Source organism: Homo sapiens, chromosome 15, assembly GCF_000001405.40.
Source record: "Homo sapiens chromosome 15, GRCh38.p14 Primary Assembly".
Lineage (NCBI taxonomy): Eukaryota > Metazoa > Chordata > Mammalia > Primates > Hominidae > Homo > Homo sapiens.
The window spans coordinates 29,925,679-29,942,755 of record NC_000015.10 but is presented as its reverse complement, the minus strand read 5'-3'; the positions used below and the strand labels follow the sequence as shown (position 1 = coordinate 29,942,755).

The window sequence follows — 17,077 nt, the reverse complement described above, 5'->3', positions numbered from 1 at the left end:
TCAGTGAACTGCACGGGACATCAGAGTGTGCTGTGGCCCACTGCCAGCCCTCTGCGGAGGTACGCACCGCTGTGTGGTAAAGGAGTCTTCCAGAATTATCACCGTTATTAATCTTCCAAACGGAGAGGAGTCAGAGAGACTTGAGGCTCTTTTGCAGAAAAAGGAATCCAGCTATTTTTATAACTTTGGGAGTTCCAGAGGCCAGTCTGAATGCAGTTTGCCAATTGACAACTAATTGGTAGGAGATTTTTGCCCTTAATGGATACTTTCTTGATTAAACTGTGAATGTTCAGATATTTCTAAAGGAGTCTTCTAGACAACCTTGCAAGAACTCTTGTTTTAAAAAATGGTTGTAAGTACAAAGGCTGCAAAGACTCCATTCTTGTGAGTGGTACCGGCCTTCATCTCCACCTAGTGGGCTTTCTGGATCGGTTTTGCAGCTCAGTATTTTGTCTCCATTCCAGTTGACCTGTGCCATCATCTCTCATCTCTTCAGAGTTTCTTTTCATTAGCAACTGCTAGTTCGGGAGCTTATTGACTCTGACTTTAGGCAGAATTTTATTCATCAGAACTGAGAAGAAAATATAGGCCTTTTAGAAATTTGGGTCTTAATGAAAAGAATAGAGAAAATGTTATTTCAAAGAAGAGAATATTATGCGTTCAGTATTCTGGTTTAACAAATATTTTGTGAAGTCTCTCATGAAAGCAGTTCCTGGATTTTGCTTGACCCTCTCTGTCTAGGGCTGAGACGCAGCTCTGGTGGGCGGGCATGGAGACCGCAGCCACCTCTCCTCCCCATTTCTCCAGTCGCTTCCCTCCTCACGGCCTCTTCATGCAGACCAGTGCACCAGCCTCACACCCAGAGCAGTTTAAGCCTAACTTTAGGTTCATCTGAGACTCCCCTGTCCCATCACATGCAAACACATACACGCATGCACGCCATTGTCATCATCTTGTCTGCCTTTAAAATGGTCACAATCTAGTGGAGCCGGCAAAAATGTAAACAAACACGTGATACGTGTACAATGGTGGAGGCGGTGCAGAGTGCCTTGGGGGATAACGAAGTGCTCAAAGCTACTTTGTACATAAAGAATCACAAACAAGGTGGCTGGGAAACTGGATCTGGAAGGACTCATATGACTTTGTTGGGCAAAAAGTGGGGAGGTGTTGAGGGGGCAGAGGGGGGACCGGAGATGGAGCTCACACCAGCTGGTTGAAGGAAACTGCTGGTGGTTCCCAACCCTAGAGGTCTGTAGAGATGCCCCATGAGGGTGGCCTCAAGCCTCCTTCCCCCCTTCAGCCAGAGTAGCTCTGCTTTTATCTGTTCTACTGGAGGGTGAGGAGCACAGACCATTTTATTTGGGAAAAAGGATTTTACTGCTAGGATGGTTTTGTGAACAGAGAGAGGACTAAGGCAGGGCCAGGGAACCTCACCAGTGCATAGGCAGTCAGAAGGCGAGGGGCCAGCAAAGGAAACTCCTGGGTAGAGGCTGAAGAAGCGAACAGGGGAGTTTCTGGAAGGGAGGAGTGGTCCACGGAGATGTGTGTGGCCTCAAGCAGGTGGGGAAGGCAAAGGCAGCGTGGGCCTGCCTGCGGTCGTAGGAGGTCATTTGCAGAGGTGGAAGTAGAGTTCATCTTTTATTTTTGCTAACCTTGAAAGGAGGGATAATGTAATTTTTTTTTAATACATTCACAGAACAGAGAGACATCAGTGCTTCAAAATCTCCAGAGCTGATGGCATGTATTTTTGACAGTTTTCATGTATTTCTGACAGTTACAGCTCTCTTCCTCCCCCATCTGTGAAAGTGGCACAGTGCAGTGGACTCATCTCTGGGTGCTGTGGTTATGGTGGTCATCGGGGCAGGGGCGAGGGTGGGGGTCACTTGGAGGTGATTGGTGACATAGGCCATGGGCAGTGGGGTGGCAAGCAGGCCAGAGGAGGTTGAAAAATACAGAAATATAAAGATAGAATGCTTTCCTGTGTGTTGAATGAGTCGATTTATGGAAGTCATTCTTTTTTATCTAATATGGATCTGCTTCAGCTTTTCAGAGATGATCTTAGATTATTTCATTACTTTTCAGTCAGTGATTAGAATCATTTGATCACCACGTTTGTTATGGAACAGTAAATCATCCCTGAGGAACATATAAATAACATAGTGAATCTGTCTGTATGCACACACACGTAATTTCAAGTATAGATAGAAAATTGGTTGTATTTGTCTTGAAACAGATACCATTCTGTTCCCAAAAGTCTAAATGAAAGCAGCTTAGTTCATCTGGTTATTATATGACTGCTGAGCATTAGAATGAAAAATGGACATTTCAGAATATGTTGTTTTCTATCTCTACACATGTTCTTTTTTGGGTAAGTCCTACATTTTGTAGTAGCTAATGTTTCGTGAGGCCTGACTGTGTACCTGGTGCAGAAGGGGAGGGCCACCTGTGACATGGGCACACGCTCTGTGTGCTGGCTCTGGGCAGGCTTTATAAACCAAGAGGAAAGGAATCACTTTGTCTCCCCTATGATTTACTCTTTTCTTTCCTATGGCAGGTGGAGAAGTGAATGCTATAGTTAAGTTCTTTCTAGTTATGACTTTGTAGGTTAGAGGAAGGCCCATTCCTCCGAACCTGACTTGGATGCTGTCATAAACCCCACCCAGTCTTCCCCCAGAATATCTTACGGCCTGCTTATTCTGGAAGTCTCACAATGAGAGTCACTAATAGGCTTGACAGTGGCTCTATTTCCAGAGTTTGTTATTCAAGTGCATGGTGTCTTAATGCTTTTTGCCTGCTATAACATAATATCATAAACTGGGGGGTTGGGGGGTTATAAACAACAGAAGTTTATTTCTCATGGTTCTGGAGTCTGGGATGACCAAGATCAGGCCATCGCAGATTTGGTGTCTGGGGAGGCCCACTTCCTGGTAGACAGACATCATCTCATTGAGTCCTCACATGGTGAAAGGGCAAACAAGCTCTCTTAGGCCTTTTTTGTAAGGGCACTAATCCCATTCATGAGGGCTCCAGCCCAGCACCTAATCACCTCCCAAAGGCCCCACCTCCTAATACCATCACTTTTGTGGTTAGGATTTCAACAAATGAATTTTGGAGGATGCAGACATTCTGACCATAGCACATGGTGTGTAGCTGGGTGGTATTTTTCCTTGCCTTCTCTTATGACTCACCAGCATTGCTGCCAGCTTTCACCTTCAGAGTCACTGAGCCTGTGCTAGGGGTTGGGGAGCAGAGTACAGGCTTGGGAAATGGCTAATGGTAAATCAGGTGTAGGCTCTGGTTTGGGCTGTGAACCAGAGGGAATTGAAGCATTCGCAGAGAGACTCCAGGCAGCTGGAGGTGGAAATGGAGGGTCACAGACTGCAGAGTGTGTACCAGGTGGAGAGAGAATAGCAAAAGCTCCAAGTGCCAAGATGCGTCCTTTGCCCCCAGTACTGACAGGGCACTATTATTTAGGAATAATGACTAAAAGATCGTATGTCATGAAGCATTACCAGGAAAGTAGAGTTGAGAGCAGGAAAGATGCCATTTAAATTGAGCCTCAGCATCATCTCAGAACTTGAATGTTCCGTGTTTGCTGCATCCGTGGGAGGGAACCTTACATAAGGCATTATGCAGACACAAGCTGTTGTCTCCATAATCCAGCAGTTATTAGTTGTGTGTTCACATTGTCCAAGACACTGAGCCTGGGAAAAAGGTATCCTTTCTGCTTAGTAGATGGTATCCTAAATCTTCCAACAGCCAGAAGTGGGCATTTAACATGGCAATTTCGGGGATGAACCTTCTCCCTTATGCCCCAGGGCAAGCTGGCCAGCTGTGCAAGACTTTCAGCCACATGGGGGCAGGGCTTTCTAGCGTGTGCAGTTAGGAAGCGTTGCCAAGTCCTGTTTGGGTCTCTTGTGGTTAAAATACTTTATTTCATTCTTGCTACGTCTTGCCCACCATAACTCTACTTAAATTTATGATGGATGGACTTTAATGTGGAGATGAAAGTGGGATAATCTTTCCAATTTAAAGTTATTTTCATTGTTCGAATTGCTGGAAGCAATTGATATTTTGAATGGTGTTACTTAGGGCAGAGTGGAAATTTCAGACACCCTGTGCTTATTCGAAGGTGATTTATATACCAAGAACTGTGATAACTGGGGGGTGGTAGTCGAATGACATAGTGCTCTGTTTTATAAGGACTTCCGTGCTGTCAGAAAGAAGTCAAGCTTTTTTTCTTGTTTACTTTCTGCAAGTAATTGGTCAAAATTCTTTGTTTAAAACTAGCTGTAAACTTGTACTACAAACGTGATTTTTGACGATTTCATAATTATGCTTTGATATCATTTTCATGTTTAATATAACATAAGCCATCTTTGTAAGCATTTATTAACTTTGTTTCTCCATTTTCTACTGTGTATTAATTTTTAAAAGATTTATTATAGAGAATTAAAACCATAAATTAGTTTTTAAAATGTTTTTATCTTTTTCCTTTTGCTCTAACTATATACTTTGACTTACTGCATTTTATTTAGGTGAGTCAGTCACCGACCTTCCCATACCATTGTGGCATGAAAAGTTTTGGGATTTACGTAATTCAATACATTCATGTTACTGCTGTTTACATTTTAAAAACCTGTTTTAACCTTAGGCTTCCACATAAATGTGATTCTTTTTATATGTCAAGTAGAACAAGCATATTACAGGTCCTGTATTCACAGCAGAATGTTGAAGATGGACTACTTAAATGCTTCAATTTCTTTTCCTCTTGAGTATGTTAAGTGAGATACAGTAAGATTGGTAAGACATGCTCTTGCTTTGAGGCAGGCCACATTTTAATTCATCTAATTTTTTTTAGTGTAACCTAGATTTAGCATTTGATAATTGAACTTCTTTTCTAGTGGATGGGAAATGCTTGCCTTTGTACTTTTCCACATCTAGGTATATTTTGAACCAGGGCAAAAGAACAGCCCAGCTGGAGCTCCTCAGTTATCAGGAGGGTCATTTTGGAAAAGCCTGGAGGGTCGCGCTGCTGCCCTTCTTGACTCATTCTCCAAATGAGGATTGTGTGAAGTACGACTCTGCATGTCACTGCATATCTTTGAGTGGGTCCGTGTTGTCTGCTTTAGGTTGGATACTTGTTCTGTCCGTGGCATCTGATGTTCAAATGGGCATTTCATAACTGCTTTTTAAAGCTGTTAAGTATTCTGTGTGGTACATTCATGAAGTTACTTTAGAACTAGTTGCTTTTAGCATGCCTTTTTCCCCTTAGTTTTCATTACAGAAGATAAAATATATAAATTTACTGCTATTTTTTCTCAGTATTTTCTTAGATTAGTTTTAGATTATGGTTTTTATTTTAAAATATAATTTTCAGTTCCTTTGTTTAAATGATATAAAATGAGAAAGCCAAGACTTTACCCAATAGAAACCAATACATTTGTAAGCCTGGGGATCCCCAAATGTTTGTTCAAGGTTTGGTTTTCTAGTGTATTACTATCTGATATTACTTTTTTAATTTGTTTTTGCCTGATTGAATGGTTTTACAAATACCATAGGTGGGACTCTTAAACAGAGATCTTCTCATGTTGTGTATAATATGTGGTTATGAAATATAATAGAGTCTATAATAGTAGTATGGTTTGCTAACCACTGAAAGAATTGTGTAAATTTCAGAACTTATAAATTTCATAACACTTATAAATATTATGGTTATAACACTTCACCATAACTTAAAATAAGTAGTTAATGAATTGCTTGTTATAACATGGGTGTTTGCCCATAGGTATGATGGGAAATTGGTTGGAGAAGGAAATGAAAGGAAACAAGAAACAAGGGATCCCAGGGTAAACGCGCCGAGCTGTGTAGCTGGACTCCACTGGGCTGCCAGCGTTCTAAATATATTTTCTAAGGGAACTTGATAAACCCAAGGTGGATCTTATGAACCCAGTAGAGCGGTCTGTAAGCAATAACAGTACTTCATTCCACTAGTTAGTGGTAGTGACATGAATTTGGGAGCACGGGGACCCCTAATAATTTGCGGGATTGAGATAAGGTTTGTACCCCCAGGGAAAAGGAGCTGGTGTCTTGTCAGGACACTGATTGGACATGAGTGCAGTAAGTGGGAGTTTAGTCAGACTGCAGCACCTGGAGTACTAATCTGAAACCAAGCCAAGAGTTGAGCAATCAGAACTGCAGATGTGGGGAAGAAAGCCTCAGTTTGGAGAGCCGGCGGGTGGCCCTGTAGATGCAGACACAGGAAGCCCAAAGGCTTGGTCAGGATGGCTTAGGAAGGTTCTGGGGCTGAAGAAACAAGAAACAAGGAATGAGCACAATGTCTACAACAGGCTGGACCGGGGAAGGCAGGCACTGACAGGTGCTGGCAACATAGAGGAGCTAGATGATGAAGACTGACTGGACGACTCTATTCAGTATTTAGTGGCGTGTTAATGTTCTCTATAGAAGTCTTTAATTTTTAACATGTGCCATTTTTTTTAAGTGGGAGAGTGTTGAGTATCTTTAGATGGCTGTGGAGAGTCTTCGAAGATACCAGAGGGAAAGGGAGAATGGAGGGCCCTGGTGCTGTAGGGATGGGACAGATGGATGGACTCTAGCGCATAGGAGGGAGGAAACCCCCAGCGAGGAGGGAACTCATATAGAGACCAGTTTGGGGTTGGGAGGTAGTTTCATTCCCTGAGTGGGCATTGAGATTGCCAGTTGAGGAAGAGGGAGAAGGTGGGGATGCTACAGAGAGGTGATGATGTAGGATTGCTGCTGAGGACCAGAAAAGGAGAGGGAACCCTGGCTAGGAACATGTTGAGGACTGTACCAGGGCCAGTCTGGTGTCACTCTCTCCAGCAAAGCACATCTGCCTGGGGGTGGCAGTGGAGAGCTGGCACTGCTGGTTTTGAAGGGTGGTATGTGGAGAAAGACAAAGGAAGGAAATAGTTGTGATTAAAGGTGAGAGGGTGATTGAAATGATGGCCCAGGAGACCAGATTGTTGATGCAAGGAGGTGAAGTCAGCAGGAACGGGGGTGTAGGGGACCTCTTGTGCAACACAAGAGCCTTGGCCTAAGCATTAGATGTGAGCATTTAAGAGATTGGCAGGGGAACTGTGGTGAGAAAGACCATGTATGGTTTTGGGATTGTGCTATAGGAATGGGGCAGGGATCAGGGTCATTCCAGGACTGGAAAAGCCAGGAATTTTGAAGTCCTTTGTAATGACCATAGGTGGTGAAGCAGGCATGAGAGTCTTCAGCAATTCCTGACTGTCCTGTCCTAGTCATGGCTAATTTCATGCTGCTCCGGCGACATTTCTAAAGCTACCAGCACCTCAAGGGAGGTGTAAGAATTTTAAGAAAATGCCTGGCAATGGTTGCTACAAGACACAAGGGCTTAGAGAGTTGTTCCTGTTTATTGGAACAGAGGAGGTGAATACAAAGTTTAGAAGGTAAATGTAAGGAATTTAAATTTGGTTGAAATTCAAGGAACATTTTGAGAATAAGGAACGCTTGAAAGAAAAAGATGTTCTGTGGAGGCAGTTTGAACTGATCAAAGAGTTGAATGCTAAATGTTCAAATGACCTAGGAGATCTACAAGTGTTACTGGTGAGTGTGAAAGCAAAGAGAAAAGAGTTCATGTGAGCAATAGAAGAAACATCTGTGGAACACGGAATAATGTGAATGTAGTAATTTCTTTGTGACTTGATTTTGACAGTCACTCTCCAGATATTTGAGAGAGATAATTCTCAGTTTCCCTCTGATGGCCTTGCTTTGTTATTACCTTAAAGACTTCCACATTTAACTTACTAATTTATTTTAACCTATATTGACTATTTCAGGAACTGAAATTGTTAAACATTTTGTAAATCTACAGTCAAATGAAAATCTTTGCAAACTTTGCTTCCTCAAGTCACATCAACCCTTCACACTACTCATAGCAAAGCTAATGGCTTTTGTCTCTAATATAAGTTTGTATTTGAAGTTGAAAACTACTTTAGAAGTTCCAAATATTTCAGTTGTAGGCTTTAGTTATGCATACACATAGAAGGTAAATGTTCTTTTTAGAATTTTATTACTCATAAATTTTAGATCCCTTTTTAAGAAGTAGTTAAGGAAGGAGGTCAATAAGCATTCTTGTTTCTCTGGTTTGTTGGCTTTATGACAGAGGATGTCTACATTAGTGTTTTAACTTGGCGTCATTCAAAGTGGGGCTGAGAAGGGAAGTGAGGGTTTGGATGTGGAAGGGATTGGGAAGATCACAGTGACAACCCAGCCCTACTTCTCAGTTACAAAAGGGCAACCTCAATATAAACTTAATGCCAATACTGTGAATCATTACATTCCTTGTTGAATCACAGATGTGTAGGAAAACATGGGTGGGGTATTTCACCGTGAATTGTTTTGCTCTTAATGCTGTACCTTAAACTGGCAATTATGCAATTGACCATGTAGCACAGAAACATTCAGTACAGGTAGCATGAACCAATATTTATTGACTAGCTACTACAGATGGACACTTGTATCATCAAAAAATAATATCAAAACAAATGAATATTTTGCTTATTTTAAGGAAACCGGAGTTTCTCAGTCATTTATGTCAGTGCTTAACTGGTTTGAAACATTCCCCATAGTTTCAGTTGTTTTGAAGCTTCACCCAAATACCAGTATTGGTTCTCATGTCATGGGTGAGTTGAAGCAAAGACATAATGAGGGATTTTTTTTCGTCTCTTATAAGCCCTTAGGTATAGTTTAGTGTGGATGCTTCTTGATTTAAGTTGAGTTTTGTCCCGTGACGTACCTTGGTACTAAAATTACTAAGTTTACCTAGCCAGAGGTTTCTCCTGTCCTCTTCAGCTTGAACTATGTCTGTTGTGACCCCGGTTCTTTTCTCCTGTGTCAGATGACAAGTCATGATCCAGAACTCTTTTAAAGTCCATCCTCTCCCTCTGCTTTCAGGCATTTGTGTTTTTGTTTACTTCTCTCTTCCCAGCATCTTTAGTCTTTCAGTATACTGGGCTTCTCGCCCAGAGAAGGTAGACAGATAACAGATCTCTAATATCTTGAAAAAAAGCTTGATTTGCCACCTTTCTTTCTGGCCAGATTTGTTGACTGTGTGGTGTAAATATGCACATATCCCTATCCCTTCAATCTGTTTTCTTTGCATTCCTGTAATCAGACGTTTACTCCACAGCCGTCTCTCTCAATTGTTAAATATGTTGGCCTTTTCTTAGGATTCATTCTCCTTAACTTCTTTTCAGGATTGGCAGTTGAATGTTATCTTCTTCTTGACATTCTTCCACAATATCCTGATTCTCCTCCTACCTATCTAATTGTACTTTCTCTTTTTTCAAGTTATTTTTCCCAACATATTATTCTGCTCCTTATTCTAATATTGTGTCCTCACTCTTATTTTCTTCCTACAATCTCTTCATCCAAGACTGAGTCTTAACTTTTATTGCTCTAAGCATGACCTCCCAAGTCAACATCCCCAGACCTCACCTCTTTCCTAAGCATTAGCTTGCATCATCTACTGACTGATGGATGTCATCACTTGAATAAGCCACCCTCACTTTGGACCCAGCTTGTTGTGCATCTATGTATATGTATTTATTAATAGAAACAAAGTAAAGAAAAAATCCAAAATATTGACAAAATGTGTGTGTGTGATGCATGAGGGATTTTTAATGATTTTTATGCTCTTTACATTTGTTTCTTTTTAATTTTAACATTTTAATTAAATATTTCAAATGTGTATTTTGATATCTTTACAAAATTCATAGTTACACATTATTTTATAATCATAAAAACAGTTCAAATGTATTAATCATTAAATTGTTTTCAATAGTTCTAATACTATTCAAAATCAGTGTTAGAATTCTGTGTTAGAAATTACAATAAGGAAAAGAATATTTTCAGTGAGCCTAAATAATTCATTTTTCAAAATGAAAACAAAAATGGAGGCTTTTCATACTTTTGAAAATAGTTGTTTGGAGAGAAGATTGTTGATTTGTAGGAGTTCTTTGTGTATTCTGTTATTAGTCCTTTGATGGTAATATACACTGGAAATGTCTTCTTGTCAGTAATTTTACCTTTTATTTTCTGCTTCTCGCTCATAATTTTAATGTAGTCATTTTATCAGTCTTTTATGGTTTCTTTTATTTTAATGTCTTGTTTTAAAAAACCCTTTTTTTTCCAGGTCATAAAGATGTTCTCCCATATTTTTTTTAAAGTTTTAAAGTTTGCTTTTTACATTTGAGTCTTTTATTCTGAAATTTAGTTTTTGGATGTGGCAAGAAGTAGAGATTGCTTTGTTATTTTCAATGTGGATTACCAGTTGTCTCAGCACCATATATTGGGTGTTTCATCCTTTCCATACTGATCTATAATACCATGTCTGTCAAATGCCAGGTTTCCATATATGTGTGGATTTGTTTCTCTCTTATTTTCCCTTGGTCTGTTTACCTCTCCCTGTGTAGAAACCTGTCTTAGTTACTATAATTGTATAACAAATCTTGAAAGCTGGTATTGTCAGAGACGTGTGAACCAGAGCAACTCCATCTTGAATAGAGGCTGGGTAAAATGAGGCTGAGATTTACTGGGCTGCATTCCCAGACGGTTAAAGCATTCTAAGTCACAGGATGAGACAGGAGACAGCACAAGATACAGGTCATAAAGACCTTGCTGATAAAACAGGTTGCAGTAAAGAAGCCGCTAAATCCCACCAAAACCAAGATGGTCACAAGAGTGACTTCTGGTGGTCCTCACTACTACACTCCCACCAGCACCATGACAATTTACAGATGCCATAGCAACATCAGGAAGTTACCCTACATGGTGTAAAAAGGGTAGGCATGAATAATCCACCCCTTGTTTAGCATATATTCAAGAAGTAACCATAAAAATGGGCAACCAGCAGCCCTTGGGGCTGCTCTGTCTATAGAGTAGCCGTTCTTTTATTCCTTTACTTTCCTAATAAACTTGTTTTCACTTTACGGACTCACCTGAATTCTTTCTTGTGTGAGATCCAAGAACCCTCTCTTGGGGTCTGGATCGGGACTCCTTTCCTCTAACAGTAGGGCAAGTACTTTCCCACCTTAGGCGGTTCTTGAAAGTTGCCTTGGTTGTACTTGGCTCTTTGATCTTCTTTATACATTTTATAATTATCAATCTGTCAGATTCCACACAGAAAACCCTAGCAGGAGTTTGGAATTACATTGAACATATAGAATTAGAATGGGGAAAATTAATAACTTTATAATTTGGACTCGTTATATGTGAATAGAGTACATCTCTCTATTCTTCTAAAATTACTTTCAATAAAACTTTATGTTGTGTGACTAGTTTGATTTGTTATATAGTTTTTTTGCTGTTGTACATGACTTACAGTTGACCCTTGAACCATATGGGTTTGAACAGTGCGGCTCCACTTATATGCAGATTTTCTTCTGCCTCTGCCACCCCTGAGACAGCAGGATCAACCCCTCCTCTTCCTCCTCCTCTGCAGCCTACTCAATGTGAAGTCAACAAGAATGAAGACCTTTATATGATCCACTTCCACTTAATGAACAGTAACTATATTTTCTCTTCTATATGATTTTTTTAACAACATTTTCTTTCCTCTAGTTTATTGTAAGAATACGGTATATACATATAACATACAAAATATGTGTTAATCGACTATTTACGTTATTGGTAAGGCTTCTGGTCAACAGGAGGCTATTAGTAGTTAAGTTCTGGGGGGAGTCAGGAGTTATAGGTGGGTTTTTGACTGCATGAAGGTCAGCACTCCTAACGCTCACATTGTTCAAGTGTCAGCTGTATATTTTTATTTTTATGCTCATGTCTAGACATGTAACTGACTATTGTATTTTCAGGTTATAACCAGGAACCTTTCATTTTAATTCTAATAACTTATAGATTTTCTTAGTTATTCTGTGTAGACTTTCCTATTCTCTGCACATTATGACAGACTTGCCTCTTCCTTTCCAATCCTTACGCCAGTCCTTTTTGTCTTACTTCCATGTCAGGCACTTCAGCACAGTATTGAATGGAGGCTGTGATTGATAGTGGGCACCCTTATCTTAGTCCAGATTTTAAAGGGACTGCTTCTAATGTCTCATCAGTAAGTATGATATTTGCTGTATGTTTTTGTAGGTAGTCTTTATCAGGTTAGAGAAATCCTCTGTTGGTCTTGGTTTGCCAGGTGTTTGTATCAGGAATGAGTGTTGAATTTTAAAGAGTGATTTTCCTGTACCTGTTAAGATGATAATGCAGTTTTTCTCCTTTAGTCTGTCAATGTGATGAATTAAATAATCATACTAAAGTATTTTCTAGTATGATATTGTTTTGTGTTACTTGGATAACTTGTACTTGACAATGGTGTTGCCTAAGATTTTGTAAAATTGTATTTTCTAACATTTTATTTAGGTTTTTAAAATCTGTTAGTAAGTGAGATGTTCATGCTGTACTTGTTTGGCTTGGTTTTTGGGTTTTCTTAGCTTCATTATATGAGTTGGGAATAATTTCTTTTTCTGTCATCTGTAATAGTCTGTGTAAATAGAGATTATCTGCATTTTGAATGTTTGATATGATTTGCTGATAATACCATCTAGGGCAGGTGTCCAGGGTTTTATTTGTTTATTTTTAGTTTATTTTGAGGGAATAGGTTTTTAACTACTGGATCAATTTCTTTAGTAGGTTTGTTCAAGTTTTACATTTCTTCTTGACTGAATTTTAATGTTACTTATTTTTGGAATTGTCCACTTTTCCCTAAATTTTCAGTTGTATTGCATAAAGTTGTTCATAGTATTCTTTTTCAAAAATGTCAGCTGTATCTGTAGTTGTAATCATTTTTTCATTCCTATTTATGCCTTCTCTATTTTCCTGTAGTCTTTTCAAAAAGGCAGCTTTCAGTTTTGCTGCTGTTTTAAAAATCAGGATTTTTTTTTTGTTTCAAGTTTCATTAATTTCTGCCCCTGTTATCTTATACTCTTGTTCTTTTTCTGACTTCTTGAGTCATACATTTATTTATTTATTTATTTTTAATTTTATTTTGAGACAGAGTTTCGCCCTGTCACCCAGGCTGGAGTGCAGTGGCGCCATCTTAGCTCACTGCAACCGCCACCTCCCTGGTTCAAGTGATTCTTCTGCCTCAGCCTCCTGAGTAGCTAGAATTACAGACATTCACCGCCACACCCAGCTAACTTTTGTATTTTTAGTAGACATGGGGTTTTGCCGTGTTGGCCAGGCTGGTATCAAACTTCTGACCTCATGTCATCCACTTCCCCCGGCCTCCCAAAGAGCTGGGACTACAGGCCTGAGCCACAGCACTCAGCCCGAGTCATACATTTAAATTATTGGTTTTCAGGCTTTCTTCTTTTCTAATACACACGTAAAACTCTACATTTCTCTCTAAGTAGTGGTTTAGCTGAATCCCATATATTTCAATAGTTAGTGCTTTCATTGTCATTAAAGTTGTAAGTATTTCCTAATATCCTTTATGGTTTCATCTCTGACCTATGATTTTTTAAAACTGTGTCCATAAATTTCCAAGATTTTTTTTTGTCCTTGATTTCTGATTTTATTGGGTTTAAATAATGTAAATTGTATGATAAAGATTCTTTGATCATTGTTGAAATTTGCATTTTTTCTTTTTCTTTAATGACTGTGGAGTTGAAAATAATGGGTTCTCTAGTTGGATCTACATATTTCCTTTAGATTGGGTTTATTGGTTGTTATTCAGCTTCTCTCTACTTGATCAATTAGTTTATTGAGACAAGTGTGTGTGTGTTTTGTTTTGGTTTTTTTTTGAGATGGAGTCTCATTCTGTCGCCCAGGCTGGAGTGCAATGGCGAGATCTCGGCTCACTGCAAGCTCCGCCTCCTGGGTTCACGCCATTCTCCTGTCTCAGCCTCCCGAGTAGCTGGGACTACAGGCGCCCACCACCACGCCCAGCTAATTTTTGTATTTTTAGTAGAGACGGGGTTTCACCGTGTTAGCCAGGATGGTCTCGATCTCCTGACCTCGTGATCTGCCCGCCTTGGCCTCCCAAAGTGCTGGGATTACAGGCGTGAGCCACCGTGCCCGGCCGACAAGTGTGTGTTTTAACTCTACTATTGTGAGAGTAAGATTATCTATTTTTCCTTCTAGTGATCAGATTTTGCGAGTAGGAGTTATCTTGTCTATGTCTCTTGATGTAGATGTGCATGAGTTTCTGTTGGATGTATAACCTTGCCATAGAGTCACTGCATCATAGGTTACACATATGTTCAGTTTTATTAGATATTGCCGAACAGTTCTAAAATGGCTTAAACAATTTATAGTTGTACCAGCAGCTTATGAGAATTACTCAATATATTTAGCAACACTTGTCGTTGTCACTTAAAAAAATTTTTAACCATCATAGTTGGGATGTACTAGTAGTTTATTTTAGTTTTAATATGCATCTCCCTAACTACTAATGATATTGAGCCTCTCTGCATGTTTATTGGTTCGTCTTTTGGTTTACAGTTCTCTGCCAAAACAATCTCATCTTTTATCTTGTTGAATATAGTAAACATAGTTCTTTTGCTCTAAATCTAGAGCAATTGTGGGTATGTTTCTGTTGCTTGTGGTGTCTACTAGTGGTTTTTTTTTTCTATATAATCTTGCCTGTTTGTATGCCTGGTTATTTTTGATTGAGTTATCTAAAGATTGAAAAAATGTAAAAATAAATTGAGGTCTAGGATGATAGATATTTCTCCTCCGAGATGGGTTTGTGTTTGTTTCTGGTGGGCACTTGGCAGCAGTAGCAATCTGGGTTAACATCAGTCCGATTTCAAGGACTGAAATGATTCAGAACTAAGCTGCAGTGCCTATGAGGGCCTGCCAACTTCTGGTTGGTCTTTGCTTTTAAAGAGTACCCCTTCAGGATCCCAGTCCAAATTAACCAAGCTCCCTGGCTTTCGGGGGCCTTGGATTCCAATTTATGTGCCTTCAGCCCTGGATGGAGTCCTTGTTGCTCAGCGATGCTCTCCAGAATCAGAAGGTGCCCCAAGGGGAAGATGGCCCCATATGCGTGGCTCACCTTCTCAGACCTCCATTCTTCCAGTATCTTGGCTTGGCCATTCTTTACCATCTTCTTGATTCTATAATGCCTTCAAGAAAATATCCTTTATATTTTTTCCAGTTGTGTTCAGAGGGGGAGTTAATCTGAATTATCTCATCCTTCAGTCTCAGAATCTAAATTCCTCCAGTATATTTATTTTTTCCTCTTTTTCTCTTAACCTCTGTGTATCTGCATGTGTCTCTATGGATTTTGTGGGGTTTACTTTTCTTTTTACATGGTCTAAATTTTCATCCAGTTAAGTGGACACATTTTATTTATTTATACTTGTGATTTATGATGTACTTGGATATATTTCTATCATATTTTTCTTTCCTTCCTTTTTTTGAGGCAGAGTCTTGCTTTGTCACCCAGGCTGGAGTGCAGTGCTGTGATCTCAGCTCACTGCAACCTCTGCCTCCCAGGTTCAAACGATTCTCCTGCCTCAGCCTCCTGAATAGCTGGGATTACAGGCATGCGCCACCACGCCTAGCTAATTTTTGTATTTTTAGTACAGATGGGGTTTCACCATGTTGGCCAAGCTGGTCTTGAACTCTTGACCTCAGGTGATGCACCCACCTCACTATCATGTTTTTCTATGCTTTGTATTTACCTTTTGTTCCCTGGGATTTTTATTTCTTTGGGTCTTTAATAATTTCAAATGTACTCATTGTAGAACTTCTATCTGATAATTATATTATCTAGAGTTTTTTTAAATTTCTGTAATTTACACAAGTAGCTTGAATACTAGGGTAATTTTTCAGGCAAGAGTTTTTCTTTTTATCTTTTTAACATTTATTTCAAAACGTGTCAGTCATTTTCACTACTAAAATCCAGAGAAGACACCAAAGTGAAGACAGGATTAGAAAATATGACCAGTGAAAAATAAATGAGAAACAGAAAATATGTCTTGAAAATATTCCTTACAATAAGAAGCAATCAAAAGTAGAAATCAAGATGAAGAAAGTAGAACCAGATTAGGTATTATTAAGTCATTGTCCGTCACACATATTAATTCATTTCTTGTCCCCAAATACTTTTTTTTTTTTTTTTCTGAAATGGAGTTTTGCTCTTGTTACCCAGGCTGGAGTGCAATGGCGCAGTCTTGGCTCACTGCATCCTCCACCTCCCGGGTTCAAGCAATTCTCCTGCCTCAGCCTCCCGAGTAGCTGAGATTACAGGCATGCTCCACTATGTCCGGTTAATTTGTTGCATTTTTTTGTAGAGACGGTTTCACCATGTCGGCCAGACTGGTCTTGAACTCCTGACCTCAGGTGATCCACCTGCCTCGGTCTCCCAAAGTGCTAAGATTGCAAGTGTGAGCTTCTGCGCCTAGCTCTTGTTCCCAAATGCTTCTTTACTATTTGATAGGTTCATGTGGTTGTGGGATTTTTGACTGCTTGTGGGAATAAGGATAAAGATTATGCAGTAAAGCTCTTTTAAAAAAATATCAGCTTTTGCTTATAAACTCTAGACTTATTTACTGTACTTTAAAAGTTCACAAAAACACTTCTATTTCTTTCACCTCATTTTTATCCTTGTTTCTTTGGTTTTCATTAAGTCTGTTGTCTGAGCATAGAGCTTATTCCACTGGGGGGAGTGTGGGTCCTGGCATGGTGAGCTAACTGCTGCACTAGCTGGCGGCTCCCTCCCTCCAAGGCTTGCTGGCCACCAGGAGGTGCTGCTGAGGGGTCTGAAAGTGGCTGTGGGTTAGAGGGGATGCCCAGGCAAACATTATTGGAGGGAAAGATTAAGAGATGGCAGGGAACAGAGGATGCAGGCCACTAGAGAAAGGAGCTAATATGTTTTTTATCTTTCTCTCTGTGACAGTCAAGATCTGCTTGTGTCAATAATGAAAAGCGTTGAACTTTACCCTTTCAGTGTTGAATTTTATGGTCTGTGAAATATCCTTCCATAAAGCTGTAAAAATGGAAGGTCTACCTGTCAGAAGAGCTGAAGGAGAATGTGTCAGAGACTGCTGACCTGCCT

General features: G+C 39.8%; 1 protein-coding gene across 11 annotated transcripts in view, besides 2 other annotated features; it reads left to right on the top strand.

Annotated features, from left to right (window-relative positions):
* TJP1 (tight junction protein 1) overlaps nucleotides 1-17,077 on the top strand; it is a 269,683-nt gene that overhangs the window by 26,294 nt on the left and 226,312 nt on the right. The window lies entirely within an intron of this gene.
* Nucleotides 7,585-8,784: an enhancer, noted in NCBI's record as "CDK7 strongly-dependent group 2 enhancer chr15:30226175-30227374 (GRCh37/hg19 assembly coordinates)". NCBI's record gives its function as "activates an origin of replication core promoter dependent on BRD2, BRD4, P300/CBP, MED14 and CDK7 cofactors, with strong dependence on CDK7, by STARR-seq in HCT116 cells {active_cell/tissue: HCT116}" and the evidence as "EXISTENCE:reporter gene assay evidence [ECO:0000049][PMID:35650434]".
* Nucleotides 16,576-16,870: a silencer, noted in NCBI's record as "tiled region #13292; HepG2 Repressive DNase unmatched - State 8:EnhW". NCBI's record gives its function as "represses a minimal TATA promoter and a strong SV40 promoter by Sharpr-MPRA in HepG2 cells {active_cell/tissue: HepG2}" and the evidence as "EXISTENCE:reporter gene assay evidence [ECO:0000049][PMID:27701403]".